This window comes from Homo sapiens, chromosome 3 (assembly GCF_000001405.40).
Source record: "Homo sapiens chromosome 3, GRCh38.p14 Primary Assembly".
NCBI classification, from domain to species: domain Eukaryota; kingdom Metazoa; phylum Chordata; class Mammalia; order Primates; family Hominidae; genus Homo; species Homo sapiens.
Window position 1 is genome coordinate 172,057,604 of NC_000003.12, and position 22,262 is coordinate 172,079,865.

The window sequence follows — 22,262 nt, forward strand, 5'->3', positions numbered from 1 at the left end:
AGGGATCGAAGCCTGTCTTGCTCTATGAGAGTGAATGAGCTAGTGTTAGACTTTAATGCTGGAGAAAAATAACATCTACCTTTTTTTTTTTTTTTTTAAATGAGGCAGTCAGTGCAGTCTAACTGATGAAAATTAAAGGTCAGTTTCTTCAGTGCCCCACCTCAGTGCATGCCTTGGGCCATGTTAATAATGACAATCCCATTATTTCCTTGCAGTAGGCAGGAAATGCTGTCTACACCCATTAGATTTGTTTGAGTGGCCCCTGGCTGGAAATGAAGAAAATTTAATTTTCTAATTTGCAGGGAGGAAAAAAAAAAAAGCATACAGTGCTACATAGAGGTTGATTCTTGGGCTGGAAGGAGTGTCATTTTTAAAAACTTGAAATTCTGAATCTCTATTATTGAGACATTTGGCCCTAATCCACACTGAAATCATGTATGGATTTACGTGCAAGTTAGGTGTCTAGGAAACCTTTTTAAATATTGTCAGAATTGGCACAATTGTGGACGTTTTAACCACATGTTTGCAAACTGCCTAGTTGCTCACATGTCCCACTGGCTGCTGGAAACTTGCTTGAAGGAGGGCTTTGTCAGAGCTTTCTCTCGGAATATTAGTTTTGCTTTTCAGAAGCAACATTCATGTTGAAGAAAATCTGTATATTCATTAGGGTAATCAATTACTTTGTGGTTTCAATAACAAGAAAATATTATTAGTGTTACAGAGGAAAAAAATGTGAACCTGTCTTTGTACATTCTAATCATATTGCCTTGCAGAGTTACATTTCCTAATCTTAGGGCTGACTTGGTTTCTGCTACTGTTATGTCCTTTAAGAATGAGATCCTTAATTTTCTTTTTTTTTTTTTTGTAGCAAGTTGATGTCCCTCTTACATTTTTCCTTTTTATATAAGCCAAAAGATTTTTATTGCTATTTTGATATATTATTTGGTTTATTGGGATGTTCTATTACAGATCCTCAGTTGGTATATAATTCATTCTAAGATACTCAATATCACATTTTCCCATGAAATACATAATGAGAAGAGGACCTTAAGTTGAAAGGACTTGCTTGAAATCAGAGGAGTATTAGTAGCCAATACTACAAGAAGCAGACATTCAGTCTTTGTGTCTAGAGGAGGCAGAGTAAATCATCTCATTTTAATGGATCTGTAGTTTCTATTAAACAGAACCTGTCATATTAGCACCATAACTTCCGGTCATATATTTGTTTTGTATTGACTGTACATATAGAGCTTCTTTGTTGCTTCTTGAAATGATATATTGGAAAAACAAGGAGTTTCTACCATCTTCATAGGAGCATATCAATGAACCAAGAAAGTTTTATGAACATTTTCTTTTCTCCGTGTCCTAATTCCCAAAACCTTTAGCAGTTTGCCTAGAGCAGTGACCATTTTGCCTCTGACATTTTGTTTCTGGTTTTCATCAAAACCAACATCTTCCATAATGTTTATTTTCCTTATTTATTTGTCACTATTAATGCTTACAGGAAGCAGCAAAGCATGGAATTCTTTACTTTTTTAATAAGTGTAGTACTAGTGTAACTTATATGTGTGTTTTGTAGAAATACATTTTGATGATAGCACGTAACATAATACATATTTGGGAGCATTTTAAAAATATTTTCTGAATTTATATTTCACTTAAAAAAAAAGAGTGAGGTTTCTAGTGGCATTTTTGATATTAATAGTAAGAAGTCCTGTGATCCATACACCTTCCCAGTGGGTTTTTGGATAAGTCTCAGATTAGTTCTCCTCAGGACTCCTGACACTAATTGTTCTCCATGGCATGGGGGAATTTGAAGCTTATATATAAAGGACTTAAAAGGCTTTGAAAAATTTCTCCTGATACTCGGCATTTGGGAGTCAAAAGTTTGCATCTGAAAAATTGTTTTCTTGATTGAGAATTTAGGTTTGAAAGTGACTTTATGGATTATTAACTGGCCACCTGGCCTCTGTTATAGATTGTCTGACCTATTTATTTGAAATTTATCTAGTATACTTAAATTTGGCAAGAAATCAGGGCACAAATACAAGTTAGGCGTATTGTTTATTTTTCTAAGTCAATAACGCAATTCATTTTGCCATGGAAAAGTAATCATGGAAAACATTAATACCTGATAGACTGTATAAACTTGCTTAACTTTTAGCATAATGATACTTTTTTCCAGGATGCTGACCGGATGGTTTTATGTAAGGATGTTTATCTATAGTCCAGTGAATTAAAACTTTTAGGTAAATAGAGGGCATGTATTACTTATTCCTAGGGCAGTTCCTTTTGAATGATTTCACTTATTGAGAACTGTCATTTTGAAATGTTTCAAACCAATTAGGCATCTTTAGATCTAAATCTTCCAGCCTTCAGCTTTAGGGAATACATATTTGGATTTGCAAGAATGTGAAGATTTAGCCAGGTAGTCACTTCCTATTAGCTGTGAGAGGTCTTCGGACTCAATTGACTGGTGCTTGTTAAATATCTGTTTTTTTGGAGAATTTGTTTCCCTCCCGAAGAGAGAACCCTCATAGTCAGTGGGGCCCATTGACAATTCTCAAATACTATCTTTTAGGATTCTCGTGACTCAGTTTTGTAGTGAACTTTTGAATAAATATAAGTAATGAAAGATGGTAGATTTAATTTAAAAGTCTAGATTCTTTTAGATGTCAGTCAGTCCTGTTGCTAGGGTGGGGGGTGGTAGTGGTGTGTTCCCTCAGGTGAGAGTGTAGTGGTGGTGGTGGGCAGAGGGTAAGACACATTTATGAGTTGGCCCCACACCAGGCTTTTCTCTGTCTTCCCTAGGCCATGAGACTGATTACTTACCATGGTGAGAGAAAACCCTAAAGGCCCCCTCCACACTTCTCATTTGCCCTTTAGAAGACCTAGAAGATTGTAGGAACAGATAGATTGCATGAACTGGTACCTGAAGTTTAGGGAGCCATCAGTTCAATCAGTAGTAGTATTTATTTGAGTGTAGCTGTAAAGATGCGGCAAGAGAAGAAGCAGGGAGATGTCTAATTCCTCTGTTTGACTTTCCCACTAAAATCTAAATTCCTTGAAGGCAGAGACCGACACTTTCCTCTTCTCTTATATACAGAGACTGGCAAACAGACTGCTCAGCAAGTGTTTATTGAATGAATGATTTAATGATGGAGCAGGACATGTTGTTTTGACACTGAGATGCCATGTGTTTGAACCAGGTGAAAACTTATGTTTGATTTTAATTTTAAAGACATGTTCTAATTATAATTCTTACTATTGGAGGCATATGGAACTTTCAATCAAGAGGAATAACTGAGATACTTCAAATTATGTGAAGATAGAAAGGTTTTTCTTGTTCAGTCAATAATTATTGCATTGCAGATAACAGAAACCCACTTAAGCTAGTTTAAGCAATAAAGGTTTGAGGAAAATGAAGGCAGTGTTTCTATACCTCCTGAGCTCCTGGAACCAGCCCTGGGAAGTCACTGGAAGCACAGGTTGCATTTCATCTTTTCTTTGCTCTTCCTTCCCTGATATTTCTTTTTGCAGAGCCCATCCTATATGAATAATGGATGCTTATTCTAAACTCATGAAGTGATACCAATTTTTTCTTTTAAAACGGCCTGGTCTGCACATTACTTTTTTTTTTTTTTTTTGAGATGGAGTCTCGCTCTGTCACCCAGGCTAGAGTGCAGTGGCGTGATCTCGGTTCACTGCAAGCTCCGCCTCCCGGGTTCGCACCATTCTCCTGCCTCAGCCTCCCGAGTAGCTGGGATTACAGGTGCCCGCCACCAAGCCCGGCTATTTTTTTTTATGTTTAGTAGAGACAGGGTTTCACCGTGTTAGCCAGGATGGTCTCGATCTCCTGACCTCGTGATCCTCCCGCCTCGGCCTCCCAAAGTGCTGGGATTACAGGCATGAGCCACCACACCCAGCCTACTTTTTAATAGTAAATTGAAGTTATGGGTGTTAGATATATTCTTTGCAAGCCGTTTTGAAGCAGATTCTTTTCCTAATGTGTCATGTACAATCTGTGGGGGAAGAAGGTTATATAAAGCAAGAATGACTTCTATTCAACAAAATAGTGATATTCTATATTTTCCTGTCTCTTTTGTTTCTTTCTTTAAAATGAACTACAGTGAGACATGGCCAGATTGATTTCTTCCCTTAAATTGTCTCAGAAACTGTACCCAGTCCACTAATTGCTTTGTTCAGCGGACAGGAAATGGTTATATTTGCACAAGTTACACAATCTTAACTAAGTCGGGGCAAAGAACCAAAGAGATCTCTGATCTTTTTTTCCAGCATTAACCTTTCAGTTCCACAAACTAATGCATGATGCATAAACCAGGTTACTAGGGGACACTTATCAAAAACCATAAACTTATTTATCTGAATGACTTTCTGTTTAGGGATACTAAGAAAAGAAGTTACGTGAGGTAATCATGCTGGTGCTGAGGTTAAGTTTGTGCAGTTTCACTTCTTCCTTAATAGTTTTTTTATACATGCAATAAAGGACATGTCCGGAAGCTGATCAGTGCCAGCATGACCATGAAGTGCTCAGTCCCCATTCCTTCTCTCCTTACCCCTCAGCCCCCTTGCAGGCTATATACAAATTTATTCTTTTCCTTTTCTAGGGTTGGGAATTTGCCTCCTTTCTTCCTGCCCCTGTCTGTTATTGGTCCCTAGTACCCCAATTTCTGCTACTTTTCTCCTCCTTCTTTTTTTTTTTTTTGAGATGGAGTCTCTCTCCGTCACCCAGGCTGGAGTGCAGGGGCATGATCTCAGCTCATTGCAACCTCCGCCTCGCAGGTTCAAGTGATTCTCCTGCCTCAGCCTCCCGAGTAGCTGGGATGACAGATGTGTGCTACCACGCCTGGCTAATTTTTTGGATTTTTAGTAGAGATGGGGTTTCACTGTGTTAGCCAAGCTACCTGTCTTGACCTCCCAAAGTGCTGCGATTACAGGCGTGAGCCACCGCGCCTGGCCACTTTTCTCCTTCTTGAAAGTGGGATTTTCTCTTTATCATTGTTTGATTATTGTATAAGTATTATGATTGGCATTTTGCAATTTGAGCAGAGCTGATATTATATATGGTATTTCTAAGTACTTTTTTTTTTGACTCTGCCAAACTGTTAAGTCATTCTCCATCCATCTATCCATCCATCCACCCATCCATCCATCCTCTTCTCATTTTGACTTCTATTAGTTATTTCCTGAAGCCCGTATATCACTGAGAAAAAGTTAATCTTAAGTGAATAACTTAGGTCAAAATGAGAGGAGAATGAAGAATTAAGTGAATGTAGGCAGAGTCAGAAAAAAAAATAGTGTCTCTCTTTAAAGCATTACTTTTTTTGGTGATGCCTTTGAAGGAAGTGAAATTGGTGTATGATCTAATGCTACAAAACCATATCTTGCTCTCATAGATTTTAAGATTTCTCTTTTGAATGATCCATTGCTGTCCTTTCTTTACACGTATCTTTTCTCCCTATCTTCCTTGTTAAATACATTTTTTCGTTATATACTTTTGAAGCAAGTCTTGATTTTTTTGTATTTTCCCCATTTTTCTTCAAATGTTCCACAGTTCCCTAAAATAAGATAGCATTTTTGTCTTTTTCTACAGTCTATTCTTTGCTGTTTACTTCATCCCCACCCACCGCCACCAAAAATGCCTTCAGAAAGTCCCTACCTTTTCTTGTACATTGTCCTTCTGTTCAGATTCTTGTATCGCTGATACTCTCCCCTGCTACCCATTCTCCTCCCAACAGTTTTCTTTGATAGTGATATCTGCCTTGGAATTTCCACTGTGCCTGTTAAACTCTTTGAGAAGGATAATTCTGTCAACGTTTACTTCTCTTCCCCTTCTAGCCCCAAAGACTGAGGACAGTGTCCTCCTCATGCATTCCTGTGACGAGGAATCTGCACTGAGGTTTCTACTCTTTCCCTTACCAGGATTCTGAATTGTCTGTGACTGTCTGATATGATTGCTGATCTCTTTCCTGTTCTCAGATAGGACACAAGGGGTTCCATTCGGAGTTGGCTCAGGACATTCAGATGCCATTATTTTAGTAATGATCACATGATGTTTTGAGGGCAGCCTGAAAAAAATAGAGTCTCTAACAGAGGAGCTGGGTAAAATCAGAGTAGGACCATCTCTAATGCCTTTTCTAGCTCTCTTACTCTGATTTTGTGAATTTATCCTTAGGGACAGTTTTTCATCAGGATGAGACCCTGCTGTGGTCTGAATGTTTGTGTCTCTCTCCCCTCACCAAATTTATTTATATGTTGAAATCTAACCCCCAAGTTGATGGTGTTAAGAGGTGGGGCCTTTAGGAGACAGTTACATCATGAGGGTGGATCCCTCATGAATGGCATTCACGCCCTTATAAAAGAAGCTTAAGGGCCAGGTGTGGTGGTGCGAATCTATAGTTCCAGCTATATGGAAGGCTGTGGCCGTGAGAAGATTGCTTGAGGCCAGGAGTTTGAGGCTGCAGTGAGTGAATAACCCCTGCACTCCAGCCTGGACAACATAGCAAGACTCTCTCTTAAAATAGATAGATAGATTAGATAGACAGCCTAAGGGAGCCTGATTGCCCCTCCACCATGTGAGGACACAGCAAGAAGGCACCATCTGTGAACCAGGAAAGGAGCCCTCACCAGACATCTGATTTGTTGGTGCCTTGATTTTGGACTTACCAACCCCGAGAACTGTAAGAAATGAATTTCTGTTGTTTGTAATTACCCAGGCTAAGGTATTTTGTTAAAGCAGACCAGATGGACTAAGTCAGCCCCATAATGACCCGTTTTATATTTTTATTTATAATCTATCTGCTGCTTAATTTTGTGATTAGTGGCCAGCTACTGTTTACTCATCTTTTATTCATCTGTAAAACTCTTTTTAACTTGTCTTTGTAAGAAACGGTTGGCTAACAGATGAATTTTCAGGTTGTTCAGTTTTAAAATGTTTTACTTAAAAGGGTAAGACAACTCCCCAATGCAAAGTGTGACTTCAGAGATAACTTTCATTTCTTTGAAATGTAGGAAGTCCATAGCCATTGCTGGCTGACATCTTTCTGCTCAATATGCTCCAGGGGAAGATTATCAAATTTTAGCTTCTGAGCTTTCAAATGGCTCTTATTATCAGTGGCATATTACATGAAACTGGTTTTGGGCTCTTCAAATTTATATTTTTGGCAAAGGTGTTGGGAGATTTGATTTCATTCGTCATCACTGCAGTACCTGGCGCATAGTAGGCTCTCCATTTGGTGTGTTGGATGAATGAAGAAAGTGATTCTGCTAGTCAGTGGGGTTTAAAAACAAGTGTCCACCAACTTAATGGGTCCCCATTGATCCTGAGTTCACCTCTGTTGCCCTGTATATATGTGACCCCATGTTTATTGCAACCTTATGGGCATCTCAGGCACTGCAGAGAACAGCCTCTTAAAATTTCTGGTAGAGGCCTGGTGCGGTGGCTCACGCCTGTAATCCCAGCACTTTGGGAGTCTGAGGCGGACGGATCATGAGGTCAGGAGTTCGAGACCAGCCTGACCAACATGGTGAAACCCCATCTCTACTAAAAATATAAAAATTAGCCGGGCATGGTGGCATGCACCTGTAGTCCCAGCTACTCAGGAGTCTGAGGCAGGAGAATTGCTTGAACCTGGGAGGCGGAGGTTGCAGTGAGCTGAGATCGTGCCACTGCACTCCAGCCTGGGTGACAGAGCTAGACTCCGACTCAAAAGAAAAAAAATTTTTGGTAGACTCCTATGTGCCATTTCTGGAGAACTGAAATAGTAGTGGACATACATAGGATTCATTTTAGTGTAGATATGACTTTTTAGTGAAACTTGAAGTCCTACTTCCTGTGTGTGAAATAGGGTAATAGGATCACACCCGAAGAAATGCCGCCTTGTTCAAAAGTGACAGGATCGCTGTTCAGTTTGGAATATTGGAAAGTGGGCAGGTTTATTTGGAAGCACTTTGTTTTTACTATATGTGTAAAACTCCAGGGAGCATTGAATAGGATATGAGGTGCTCCCTTTGGCTGTGCATTAGCAACGTGGCAGTTACTGATCTGTCATTTACTTTGAAAAGGAATTACAAAGTTTTGGCCTCATGCCTGGAGTAGCTCCAGATGGTCAGAAAAGATTTTTGTACTGAAGTCAGAAAGTATATTGCAGTGATAGAATTGGGCTTGTCATGTTTATATTAGAACACTGGCTTCCCACTTTATTCCTCTGCAAAGTTTTTCTTTCTTTCTTTTTTCCCAGAGAGTGAGGGGAGGAAATTGTTGCTTTAGAGTTATGAGTCTAATATTTGGAATACTGTTGTTCTTGGTGATAATGATGTAGAGGTATGATTATGTGGTTAATGTAGTTACTTTGTCAACCTAAATACCCCTGATTCTTAGTATTTACAAAGGATGCATGAAGGCTTGGAATGTAGAGATACACCAAGACCATTGTAGCTGATGTAGAAATGCAGGTAAGAAGCTTCATTTGGGTTGCGTTTGCTTGTCTGATAACCTGGCTGTTAGCCCACAACTGTTATTTAGTAGCTTACCAAACTTCATCTGTTCTGTCTTCCCATGATTCTGTGGTTGCTAGGGGTAATGATGACGTTTGGGTGTTCAATATGGGTGGGAGGTGGGCCTGGGGAGATGAGCAGTGAGGCGATAATGATACTAACACCAAGTTTTGCCATTTTAGGCATTAGAGCATCTTAAATTCCACATATGATCTTGTGTACCTTCATATCAACCCTGGAAGGGGAACGATGTGATTCCTATTTTCCTGATGAGAAAACTGAGACTTTGGGAGGTAATATCTGCCCAAGGCAATATCTAGGTAACTCCCTTCTGCAGCCTGTTTACATATAGTTTTGGCGAAAATGACTACAATTTCCTGTCCTTTCAGGACAGAGGTGGCTACAGGCTTCAGGAAATAAAGCTCATTTTCCTCTGGGAAACTCAGGACTTGTCTGGGTTGAGCCATTTAGTAAAGCTTGGTCACAAGGCTCAGATTAAGACCTGGATCTACGTGCTGCTGTTCCCAGACTGCTTTCAGTTACTCTTGTGGTTACTGAGTAACTTGGGAGTTAGAAGAACATTAACAAAGTTTTGTGTTTTCGAAGAAAATGCTACACATGGAGAAGTGACACTAAGTTGCATACTTCAGAAAGGAATTTTTATCTGTTTTGAGATTCTGGTCTATACATTGAAAATGAACTAATTTTGATTATTATACTTTTAATTGGTTGCACGAGTGTGTGAACATAGGCAGCTCTTTTGAAGCACTTTTACTGAAAAGTGTAAAAATTTTTGTTGCTGTTGTTCAGTAGCAGACATATACAATACTCTCTTTTTGAGACATACACAATATTCTCTTATTGTGGATTTAGGGGTCTTGTACCAGATCACCCTTTTCTCAGATTGCAGCTCTTCCTCCTTGCTTTATGTAGAGTGGTTTCTAACTTGGTTCTTTCTCCTGTGCAGATATAAGACTTGGTCCGCAGTCTCCTACCCTCACCCAGTCTTCCATGAGCTATCAAAATCCTCCTCTAGGCTTTTATTATTTTGCTTCCTAATTTTGTCCTTTTAAATTTCCACTGTTTAGATATTATTCAGACAGCAGTGGTATTTTTCTGTATATAATGTGGCGCTGTAATTAGTTTGAGTTCTTTTGGGGTTGTGTCTTAAACAGCGAGAATGGCCTGATTGATGTGCTTTTTGAAGTCTTACTACCTTTTTGATGAGAAGGATGAAAGTGGTGTGGAGATGAGTTTGTCTGGCTTACTGTAAATCTGATCTGTGAGGCTTTTCTGCGTTCACTAAGGCACCAGAGTCGGACTCTGCTTTTTTTCTTGTTTGATGTTACTTTATTACACTTATGAATGAAATACTAATGCTGTTATTTTATAGAAGATCATAAAATAAAAGTACACTTTCTTAGTGTTTTATGTTTCTTTAAAAAGATAATTACCGTGAGTCATAGAGCTACAATTACATCAAGAGTTTCCTATACGAAGCAAAGTCTCTGGTGGGTTTTTGGTACAGTCTTTGCACCTGGATCAGTGGAGCAAAATGTCATCACACTTGAAAAAAAAATTACTTAACAGGCCCATTAAGAATCTTCAGAAGTTTGCATCTTGTTAGGGATTTGTGGTCCAAGAGTTAGTACTACAGAACAGGCTCTTTTGTAGACCTAGGGAAACCAGTTTGTTTCTCTGCCACTTAACCTGCAAGACTTATTATAGGTGTTTCCTTCTCCTGTCTGTTTTGAAGAGACTTCCTCTGGGAATTAATGGTAGAATACTTATGACTCCTGAGAGCAGAGAACGTTCAGGCCATCATCATCTTCTCCCTCTGGGCTGTACATGGCCTCCCTGTGTCTCTACTGCCTGTCATACCTCCCCACTCCTCCACCTCAGTCACAGGGCGACTGCCTTGCTTTCGGTCTACCTTTCCCAACTCTTCAGGCTCATCCTGGTGGATCCCATTCTGTAGCCCCTGCTGCTCTTTTCAGGGGATTCTATTTTGTCTTATACACTTTTGTCATTTAGTTACCCACCTATTCCCCCCAGTGGACTCCCATTCTGGGCTCCTGCAGAGGGCTTGTAAGTTCACCTTTATATCCCCAGGGTCAGAGCTGATGCTCTGCCGAGTGAATGGGGAAGCGCCAGAAAGAACAGAAGCTAATGATGGACTGGCTCGACCATGGCTCCCACTTTCAATACTCATCCCTCTGTTTCCTCAGACATTTTACTTGAATTAATTTTGTAGTTCTCCTTCTGAACTGCTGAGCAAGTATTTGGACACTTTGTGAGGAGCCTTTTTTTTTTTTTTTTTTGAGATGGGGTCTCACTCTGTCTCCCAGGCTGGAGTGCAGTGGCACAATCTCGTCTCACTGCAGCCTCCGCCACCCGGGTTCAAGCAATTCTCCTGCCTCAGCCTGCTGAGTGGCTGGGATCACAGGCTTAAGCCACCACGCTCTGGTAATTGTTTGTATTTTTGGAAGAGATGGGGTTCCACCATGTTGGCTAGGCTAGTCTCAAACTCCTGACGTCAGATGATCCACCTGCCTCGGCCTCCCAAAATGCTGGGATTACAGGCATGAGCCACCGTGCCCGGCCAGAGGAGCCCTCATTTATAGCAAGAATAAAAACATTTTGTCAGGAAATTTAATAATAAGCCCAGACTGAGTGCTTGCTATGTGCCAGACACTGTTCTAAATGCTTTACATGCATTTCTTCATTTAATCCTCACAGTGTCCTGAATTAGGTGCTTTATTTTATTATTTCCACTTTGCCAGTGAAGAAGCAGAGGTAGTGAGAGGGTAAGCAACTTGCCTGAAGTTAAAAGCTAGTCAGTTGTGGACTTAGGGTTTGTAGCCAGGCAGTTGTGGTCTTCAGGGAGGGGACATAACATCATTCCCCTCCTGAAACTCCATATTCCTTTGTAAATCTTATTCTGTGTTACATATTTTCCTGTCCTTCATTTAGTTATTTAGGTCAGCTTCTTGTACTTCTGCTGCAAAACGTTGCTGTCAATTTACTTGACCTGGTAACCTCCCGGTGAGTTTCGCCAGGGCTTCCAGTCAATTTAGCAGGTCACTCTAGTACCTGTGGGAGGGTGAGGGCATGGAATCCTCAGGAGAGGGCTCTGCTGTTGGCTGCTGTCTCCACTTGAAGTGGACAGTTTTGAATATCTTAATAAAATCAAATCGGATGTTCTTAGGTATTCATTCATTTTATTTTCCTAAGCAAAATGTTTTGTAAAATGCTGCTTTTACGTGGCTAGAGCCACTAAATATCTCTATTAATACTTTTAGGCAAAGGTTGAGATCTTTGAAGAATTAGTGGGTTTTAAAAATTTACTTATTTTTATTTTTTAATTTTAAGTTCTGGGATACATGTACAGAACGTGTGGGTTTGTTACATAGGTGAATGAGTGGGTTTTTTAAGTTGTTTTTGCGTGCCTTTAGTCTTACTGGTTTGCCTTAGTTTCTCTACTCTCCAGACTGCTGTGCTGACTTTTCATAGCTATCTGACTTTTCAGTCCAGTGCCCTTTTGATGCTCTGGCCAGGTGGCTCTTGTTTCAGCTTCACTGGGAGGGAGTTGTGGAATCTGGCTGACAATCCCATTTAGTCTTCTTCAATTTAATTGGCCTTTTCCCCTTTCAGATTCCAAGTAGGGGAATAGCCTAAAGCCATTTTAGGGGGGCTACTAAAGCAGTTTACAAGGTGATGCCTTATATTTAAATACCACCGTATTTCCAAATCTGTTTCTATTATATATATCGTTTATTGTAGCATTCTCACAGTGACCCTGTGGTGTGAACACAGTGACTATTATCCCAGTTTTCAGATGAGAAAACCTAGTCTGAGAGTTGTGTGCCTTTCCTTACTTAGGGCACTGTGGCAAATAAAGGGAGAAGTCAAGCTACTGCTTCCATTCCAGTCTCTGAATTCCAGGTCCCCTGCTCCCTTTTCTTTCCAGGGCATGTATGATGTCTCAAGGTTGGCTAACCTCTAATTGAAAATCTGTAGGTGCTTATCTTCTGCACTTTTGAAATGATATGAACGTGAAATATTTTCAACATGCTAACATTTTTCCAGGCCGTTATTAGGGGATTAAATCATCCTGTTACCGTAACTGCAATTTTAGATGTTCTGGTGCTAAACTGAGATCTGTCAATAGAGTGCAACCTTTCGAAAGTCTTAAAAAATAGGGTACATCTTGGACTCAAGAATTATGATATCAAAATAAGACCCTTGGCTATTTCCGGAGTGTGTTAGCCAATCTACCCTGTGGTTTTCTTTCTCTGGAATTGGTGAAGAAAGAGATAAACAAGATCCAAAACCAGGTCGCATGAAAGGATCAACACTCCCCTGGACATACAGTTGTTTGGGATAATCGTAAATCCTGCTGTCTGTAGTGGCTGACGAGGGGAGAAGAGCAGAATCCTAGCACTCCGGCTACTGACTGTGAAACTAATGTATCTTTGCTATCACATATTTAGCATTTACCTTTTACTTTAAGCCAAAAACACCTTACACTTTTCTTAGATGAGCTTTTTAAAAACATTGTAATTTATGAAAAAAATTTGAACATAGACAAAAGTAGAGAATAGTAGTGGATCCCCCTGGACTTATTACCCAGCCTTGACAATCAATCAGCTCGTGCCAGTCTTGTTTCATCTTTACCCGTTTTCATTCTCTGCTCCTTGCTGTAATATTCTGAAGCAAATCTCAGGCATATTATTTCATCCTTCAATATTTCAGTATTTTTTTCAGATAAGTTCTTTCGGAAATATATTTTCATCTAATTTAAAACAAAAAGTTTTCAGGAAAAATACAGGCATTTTTGCTGCAAAAATTGGTCAGGATTATGCAATTTCTAACTAATCAGCATTTTTCAAGGTTACTGGTTTTGGCTGACAAAATTTTTTTTCTTATATGTGGAAAAAATTATTCACAGTAACAAATGCGTGTTTTGATAGTGCTAAAAATTAGTCTATTTTTCAGACTTAATTATTCAATTAAAAAATAAGACACTTCATAAACTTTAAAACTATTGTGTAGAAACACACTGTTCTTCAGTTTTATGTGTTTTCAGTCATTATATTTCCCAGCTATTTCAAATAGGCTAAATATAGTATACCCTAAGCTTACTCAATCGTTAGTTTAGACTCAACTAATTTGGAATTTTCATTGAGTTGGATATAACTTTAATAGCAGGTTTCCATTCAAGCAAAGTATTTGCTAATTGCAGGTGATTATTAAGGCAAAGTCTTAAGGATTTATAGAATAAGTAAATGGTTTTATGGGCTCATGGATCTTTAGGTATATATATATTTATACACCTTAATGGTATGAATTTAGCCTGACTTGGAAAAACTAACCTGGTTTATATGTGTATATAGTCCATTAATTGATTCACTAAAATTTTTATTTTGTTAAAAATAGTGAAATAAAATCAGAATTAATTTTTTTTTATTCTCTGTGAAGAGTCTTATGAAAGGTGGTCAGATTTATAAGTCAGATTGTGGCTAGTGAATCTTAGTTTTTCTCTCAAATACCTCAAGACAGCATGGAGGCTGGTTGTCACACACATTCAAAGGAACAAAATACTTATTAGCTAAAAAAGGGTATGCACATTTTTGGGGGCTTTGAAGCATATTGTAGGGCTTAGTAATAATGACAGTGAAAATTAACATAGCGAGCACTTCCGTATGAAGTCATTTTCTCATTACCATGGTCTTACGAGGATAGATGTTGTATTTATCCTTGTTTTACAGATAGAAACTGAGACATGGAGAGTGAAGTAACTGGCTCCAATCCCAGTGCTAAGTGGTCAAGCCAGGGTCAGAATTGTAACAGTTGAGTTCATGAGTACTGGCCCTTAACAACTCTGCTGGAGTGCCTCCTTTGGTTAAATACTAGTAGTTCATATGTCGGAAACTCATCCTTCATTTTCTTCAATGAAAATACGGCATTTTACAGCAGTGCTGTCCAATAGAATTGTTGAAATTATGGAAATACCCGCGTTATCTAGTATGCGTATGCCCATTAGTCACATGTGGCTGTTGATTACTCAAATGTGGCTAGTGTGACTGAGAAATAGAATTCAAGGTTTTATTTAATTTTAAGTAATTTAAATTTAAATAGTTACATGTAGCTAGTGGTTCTAGTACTGGACAGAGAGGCTATAGAGTTTGAGAGACCTGGGAGAATTTGTAGTTTGCGTTTCCTGGGGTAATGACAATATCTTGGCATTTTGTGGCTATCAGTATCTTGACCTCGTTAGGGTTGTCAGTGAATGGTTGTGTCATGAAATAGTAATAATGTTAATAAAGGTGAAATTTTTACAAAGTGGATAATTGAATGTTTAAAACTGTGATGCCTAACAACAAAATCCTGTTTGATCACCAACCTGGGAAATCCACAGTCTACCGCATCTGGAGGCATCCTCTTGTTAATTCCTTTGTAGCCAAGCAAAAACTGCTTTGACATTCCCGCATGATTTTCAGCCTTGTAGATGAGTTCTTGCTTTGTAAAGAGTCCAGCTTCTTGGTCAAGCTTAACATTAGGCGTGATGATAAGATAGTAAAATGGACTTTGTGGGCCAAAAGCAGCCATTAAGAAGCAAGTGTTTAACTCTTTATCTTTCTCCTACAGCCTGATGTTGACAGAGCTCCCATCTATGAAAATACATCAAGAAAACTCAGTGGTAATGAAGCTAGATTTCATTTCAAATGACACTGAGGCCACATAAACGGTGACACTGATGCCTCTTATGATGTGCTTTCATCTAAGCCTTTATGTGGCACTTAAGTCTAATTATTTTAATTTTTTCTTTGTGTTGATGAAAAGGGCCGGAGTAGTTGTTTCCACCAGCCATGGTGGGGCTCTGAAATGGAAGCAAGCAAAGCCTCCAGATGGTGGCAGGTATTGGACCATAGCCACCCTGCAGACATAATTAAACATGTCTGCAGCCCTCTCATTTAGCAGTTATAACACAGACATTTTCTTTGTTGATGGGATTGAACTGTTATTGTTAGCATTTATGTGAAGGACTTGCAGTACTATAGCCAGGTGCTATTTCTCAGCTACTGTGTTAAACACTGGGCCTGGAACTCTGCTTTGAAAGGTTTGGAGAGAAGGTTCCTCCCAACATTGGGAATGAACATGGTGGTTGGGGTGTTTTCAGCAGGTCCTGTTTGCCCACTTTCCATTTGTAATTCTCAAGTGTAACAGTTCGAATGTAGAGACTGGCTGTGAAAGTGGATTGGGATTTTAAGACAAAAAGTATTGGACAGCAGGTGAAACACACTTCGTTCCTGGCTGCAGTACCAGCTTCTGTCTGAAGTTAGGTAAATCATTTAGTTGCTGTGGACTTTGACTTTCTTCAGTTGGCAAAACAACCTTTGGGAGGGGAAACCAAATATCACTAGAAAGTGATTTGACTTCTCGAAAAGACAATTATGGTTTATTTGTGAAATAAAAGGTAGTTGTGATGAGTGAGTTCCCGTTTGCTGTATCTGCCTCCTTGCCAATAAACTTCCCATTTACACTTTTAATGATGATTCAAAGAGCAGATCAGCATTATGTAAAGGCATTTTTGATGAATTAGTCTTATGCATGTCCCTATATGGTATATTCTGTAGTTAACTGTTTTCATTGAACCTTTACAACTGACTCCACCTTACAATGGGTGCATGATTTTGTAGCGTAAGTTTACTACCTGACCTTGTTTCATGTCCTCTTCACTGAGGACAAAAAAAAAAAAAGTAACACTTTTCTCTTGTGCTTTTTCTCCCCTGATCCCTTCCCCCACCACATGACCCTTAAGAAATGTTGTCCTTTTGGAAGCCAGGTCATTTGTCTGAATTTAGGAGAATGTTGAGTTGCATCTTCAAGAAAGGGATGCAACACAGGATGAGGACTGTGGAGGAAGACTTTCTCTGAGTAAGACCTTGCAAAACATAGATTGAAATATAATTGTCTGCAAATGAATTGACAAGTGTTGGACCCCATTTTTCCAGGCACTTGATTGAAAGGCTGCTTCTAGCCTGAGGGAGGTCTTGATGATGCTACATTATTGCCTGTGGCCATTGTGAGTGCCACTGAGGTGGCCCTCTTGTGTGCAAGTAGTTGTGGTTCCACAATTCCGCTAGGCTAGTATTCAGACCTAATTCTCTGCTTACAGATGCTGTGAATTCCGTAACTCAGAAATGTGTGCTCACAAACATCAAATCAGCCTGTACACAGATACATAGAGCAGCCATGTATCAAGGACTTAGAATGACTGCTGATCCTTGAACTCTTTTTTAAAAAGGAAAAATTAGCACAAGGTTAAAACTTAAAGACATCAGATTAGTTCTGTTTAACAGCAACCTGTTACTTCGTGCTTTTGCATGTCAGCAGCTTGTCCTAGAGTCAGCGAGATTTCTTGCTTGTGACTTAAAGAATCTTGTCTTTTGGCTGTAGAGTATGATTTCATGGTGGAGGATGTTGCAGATATCTTAGTTTGCTATTTTATAGCATGGGTTATACTTTAAGGGCTGAAAAAAATAAGGTAATTTAAGCCTGTTTTGAGACACACGGAAAGGAAGCTATTTCATAACTATCAGTCATGTGAAATTTGGCAGGCCCCTAGCCCGTTAGTGGCCACAGTCACATGATTGATTACCGGTTGGGGACCCACAGTTAGCTTATTGCAGAACTGCATCTGGCATAATTGGTGTTGTCATCCAGTGTCAAACTATCCACCCTGTTCTGCCAACTTCCTTCCAATAACAAAACTTTCTTGCCTTGCACGAGTGAAAGCCTGTGTGATTGTATGTGTTTAGAATTACAGAGTTTTAAACATGATCCAATCACAACTATTTGAACTTCTTGATTTTAGTACATTTGTACCTATGTTGCCAAAAACATTTTTTTCCTTGTCTTTGTGTCTTCTAAAACATTGAAGGAAGAGGTCTTTGATGCTTCCTTAATACTTTTATCATGTTTGAAGTCCTGAGCTCTATAAATAATATAGTCCTTATTATCTTTTTATCTTGATAATTTATAAAACTGACTGTCCAAAGATATGTACGATACTTGTAGTTTTATATCAAAGAATTTTAAATGCCAAGAACCAGGGAAGCCATCTAATTCTCCATTCGAGCTAGTGCCGAGACCTACTGGACAACATCTTGACACTTGGTCATTGGCCTGTGCTGGAGGCATGATATTCTAGTCCTGGTTCTGCCTCTGCCCGCCAGTTTGGTTTTAGATCTCTTCATTTTTGTGATTAATGATATGAAAAAGTTGGACCAAGTGGTCACTTAGGTTTCCTTCAGTTTTTGATTTCTGTATGAAGATATAGAAATATCCCCTACACGTCAACAACAACAAAAATGGGAATTAACCGATTCCTTCTAAAAGCTGAAGGCTCCTTGGCAGTGGATATTGACCCTTCAACTTTTAGAAGGAATCAGTTAATTTTTTGTTGTTGAAACATGTCTCATTTTTATATTGAGCCTAAATTGGCATGGTCAGAGATAGGCTTCTATAGCACTATTTTTCCACATATTTTTGAGTGGGGCACACATTGAGAAACATATTTTACATTGTAGCCCAGTAAACACACACACACACACACACACACACACACACACACACACACAAACATTTATATACATATAACTGAATCAAAAGTTTCACAAATCAATACTTGCCTTTTTCCTTTGTGATGCAATTCTATTCGATTTTATTTAAAAGAATGCCAGTCAGTGACCCACTAAATTGATTATGTGACCCAAGAATGGGTCCTGACCTGGAGTTCAAAAAACACTACTCCATAGCAACCCAGAACACATTCGTTTCTTCTTTCACATGATAACCCTGTAAACTCAACTATGGTTAGCTTGTTTGCCTTTAGTCCTCTTTTACAGGCTTAAGGTCCCAGTTTCCAAAGCTTTTTCTTTCGTGATTTGATATTTTGACTCATCACCATACTGGTCGGTTGTTCCTGGATACTTACGGTTTGTATCCCTCTTAAGGTACCAGAAGAAATCTAATCTCAAAATAAAATTTAACTAGGGCCAGGGTCTTTCTTTTATATTGTTTCCTACTAATGTCATTATATTACACATTTATTCTACAAATGTTTGTTCTATACATGTGTACTGAGCACTACTATGTGTTAGGGCTATCCTTGGTGCTTGAGGACACTGCAGTGAGCAAAACAAAAATGTCTGCATTCAGAGAGTGTACATTGTAGAGAATTGCACTAGCCACTAGGAGTATGGCAATGTCAAATGAAATACCCAAGCGCTCAGTCATAGATATTCCTCTGTACTGCTCAGTTGCACGTGATCTTTTAGGGCACCATGTTATTGTAGACTGTCAGGCATTTACTCTCTTCATTGTGAGTTCCTCCTGCCTTTCCACTTGAGTGCACATCTTGGCAAAGATGAAATGTCAATTTCTGGGAAAGGCACCTATGTGTTGTTTCCCTTATTATTTTTAATTAATTTATTTTTTTTAAACAGAGTGGAAATTAGAGACTTAAAAATGATCAAAATACAGAAATATGAAATTATTTTTCCTGAGGTTCAGACTGGTTAAAGGAAGATTGAAAGTTTCCATTGTATTTGATAAAGGCATGTGAATTCTAATCAGGTCACAGGGCATCAAGAGGGGTCTTTAACTCTTTGGGAACATAAAGTACACTTTTTAAATAAAATTATAACTTTTCCTGGGGTGACTTTGTCATGGGTAAATTTGGGCCAAGGTTAATGGTTTTAGAGGTTGAATTACTTATGTTTGTTTTATGTAAAGTAATATATTAGGGCAAGAGATTTGAATGAACAAAATAAACAAAAGATATGGTCTCTATCTTCAAAGCTTGCATTTTAGTTAGAAAACAAAATCTGCATAATGAAATTATATAAACGAGTGATCAAATCACATAATAAGTACAACTTGAAAATGATGATAGGTAAATAGAATTCATCAAGAAAGAATAACTGGAGACCCAGCATTTGAAACAGATGGGAATAAATTGGTTAAAAAAAATAAAAAAAAGTGTTTATAATAAGTTGAATGTAATTTAAGGAATCTGAAGCATTAAAAATCTGTGCTTAGGTGAAACTGCAGTTTATTTACCTTTTAGAAACTAGTCTGATTTTTTTTCCTTCTGTTGTTTGAAAATTTACAAATTAGGAATTTGTCATAGGAGATGTAAATATATTTCTAACATGAGAAACTAATGTCTAGATAATGAAAGGGCATGGGAAGGAAGCCTTAAACATGACATTATTCAGTCAGAATAGGATTGCATTGATCCAGCGGTGTGAAAATCATTATGGAGTGGTGTTTTCACACAGGCCTCTTCCTTTACTTTATTCTGAACTACATAAATATCAATTAAAGCTTTCTAGTCCAAGTTAGCAGATGGCGATTTATGTCGGACTTATAAACAAAGCCCCAGAACATTACTATACCTAATTGATGAATGCTCTCTCCCTTTCCTGAACAAAGATTTTGGCCTCCAGTGTGGTTGTCTGAGAGAAAATTAATGAATTCTTTTCTGTGGTCTCATGTAGAAAGGCTCCCGTTTATAGAAATATTTGACTTTTTCCCCCCCAAAAAAGAAAACTTGAATGCTTTTAAGTTGCCTAGTAATTTAAATTCCCAAAGATGGACTGGAATAGTATTTGGCATTAACATTTACCTAAAAAATTATATTTTCGGCTTACAGCAGAATGATGCCTCAAAACACAAAATAGTAATCAAAATAAAGCACACAGAAAAGTGGAATGTGTTTAATTATTATAACTTTAGGTAGACATCCAAATTAGGGCTCATATTTTATTGTTGTTTTTAATTATTTCTATTTATTATTATTATTTTTTGAGATGGAGTCTCCCTCTGTCATCCAGGCTAGAGTGTAGGGGCCAATCTCTGCTCACTGCAACCTCCATCTCCTGGGATCAAGCGATTCTCCCGCCTCAGCCTCCCAAATAGCTGGGATTACAGGCCGCCGCCACCATGGCCTGCTAATTTTTGTACTTTTAGTAGAGATGGGTTTTGCCATGTTGGCCAGGCTGGTTTTGAACTCCTGACCTCAGGTGATCCGCTTGCCTTGGCCTCCCAAATTGCTGGGATTACAGGCATGAACCACTGCACCCAGCCAGAGCTCATATTTTAGACTCTTTTTCTGTGAACTCTTTTCTTTCGACTTGTTGTTCTTTAAGGTGAGATGACACTTTGTACTAATTCTTAAAATGAACCCTTCCCTCAATTTGAAATATGTGAAAATAGCTGTTTTGTACTATGGACCTGTAAGTGGCGTCTTGTGGTTTAGGGGCTGTTGCAATGTCCACCTCCAGTGGAATGTAGGTCGCTGCATCAGAAGAAGGTAGAGGAGCCAGGCCTGTGACTGCAGAATGTATTCCTTACCTTTTGTTTGAAAATAGTAAATTTCATTTGTGAAACAAAACCTGCCTTTTCTTTTTCATCCTAGCTTCTTTGAAATGAGCAGTAGGCTGATCGGGGGTAGATATTCAAATATACTGAAACATTAAGGTTGCTGTAGATGAGAAAACAGTGGTACTTTGGTTGAGGGCAATCTGCACTAAACACTTTGACTTTAATGATAGCTTTCTGCCCGCTGCCACCCAGGTGTCTTTCTTGTGCTCATTGGTTTGAGGGTGCATTCCTCAAATGAGAGGGGCAATTCAGGTAAAAGTTTTCAATGTTCCTGCCCAAGGCAGCCTGCTAAAGGAAGTTCTCTTGGTGATGACCATCACATGATTGCCACGGGAATGTGTTTACTACACGATCTGTTGATACAGGTAATAAAGAACACACTGATGACTTTTCCCCACGTAATCTCTGAGGTCGGTATTTTAGTAACCTTTGAGATAATAATTTAACTCACGCCCTATAGAAATTATGTATGCAGTAGGCCCTTGGTAGAGACTGACATTTATATAAGGTCAGTGTTGGTTGACCTAGTTTGATCTGGCCCTAGATTTATAAATGAATGAATGATCTCCCCAGAATTAGGAAGACATGACATCAAAAATATGAATTCATCATTACTGTAAAAGTTTAACATGCTGTTAAACTGTAGCATGTTAGTGAGACGAGGCCTCAGTATCTTCTGCTGGTTGGGGAAAAAAAATAAATGTGTATTAAGTCTCAGGAGCCTGCGTGGTCCTCATGCTTGTTAAATCCAGAATGGGTCTCTCCCTTTCTCCAAAGATGGAGTTTGGCCTTGGTGGGATTCTGTGTTGGGAGCTGCAGTCCCAGATGCTTCTGCTAGTTTAATAGAAGAGATCAGGAAGAACAAACTGGCAAGTGAATTGGACAGATACAGACCCAAAAGACTTCAGATAATTGGAAAGAAATTTTGCAACCAGGGCATTTCTGCCATCAAAACAGAGGTATCTTGCAATGATTCTTGTGCTGGCTGTTGTTGAGGTCTTACTTTAGCACTGGGGATGGGAGATAATTCCCGTATAGCCATAATATGGGAAATCACCAGTATCCTTTAAGATGACAAAATTCAAATTCTAATAAAGACAGGATTTGGGACATTTTTTAAAGAGAGGTGCTGGGTGTGGAGAGGGAGGAAGTCTGGTTTCTGATAAGGGCTTCTCCTCATTTTACAAGTCTGCTTGTCATGAGAGAAGTATTATTCCTGGAAATGAAAAACATGGAGGCAGAAAATCCGTTTCTTCAAAAACAGATAGTGGATTTTTGCACTGCCAACC

The 22,262-nt window shown here is 38.9% G+C and overlaps 1 protein-coding gene across 10 annotated transcripts in view; it reads left to right on the top strand.

Annotated features, from left to right (window-relative positions):
* FNDC3B (fibronectin type III domain containing 3B) overlaps window positions 1–22,262 on the top strand; it is a 362,092-nt gene that overhangs the window by 18,026 nt on the left and 321,804 nt on the right. For 2 of the 10 annotated variants that reach the window (XM_047448754.1, XM_047448757.1), the window contains exon 1: window positions 5,005–21,932. The exons of 7 other annotated variants lie outside the window; for them this stretch is intronic. The gene's annotated coding sequence lies outside the window, so the exon portion shown is untranslated. Of the gene's footprint in view, window positions 1–98; window positions 3,210–5,004; window positions 21,933–22,262 lie in introns of those variants that run through there. One more of the 10 variants, XM_047448752.1, reaches the window with a different exon arrangement.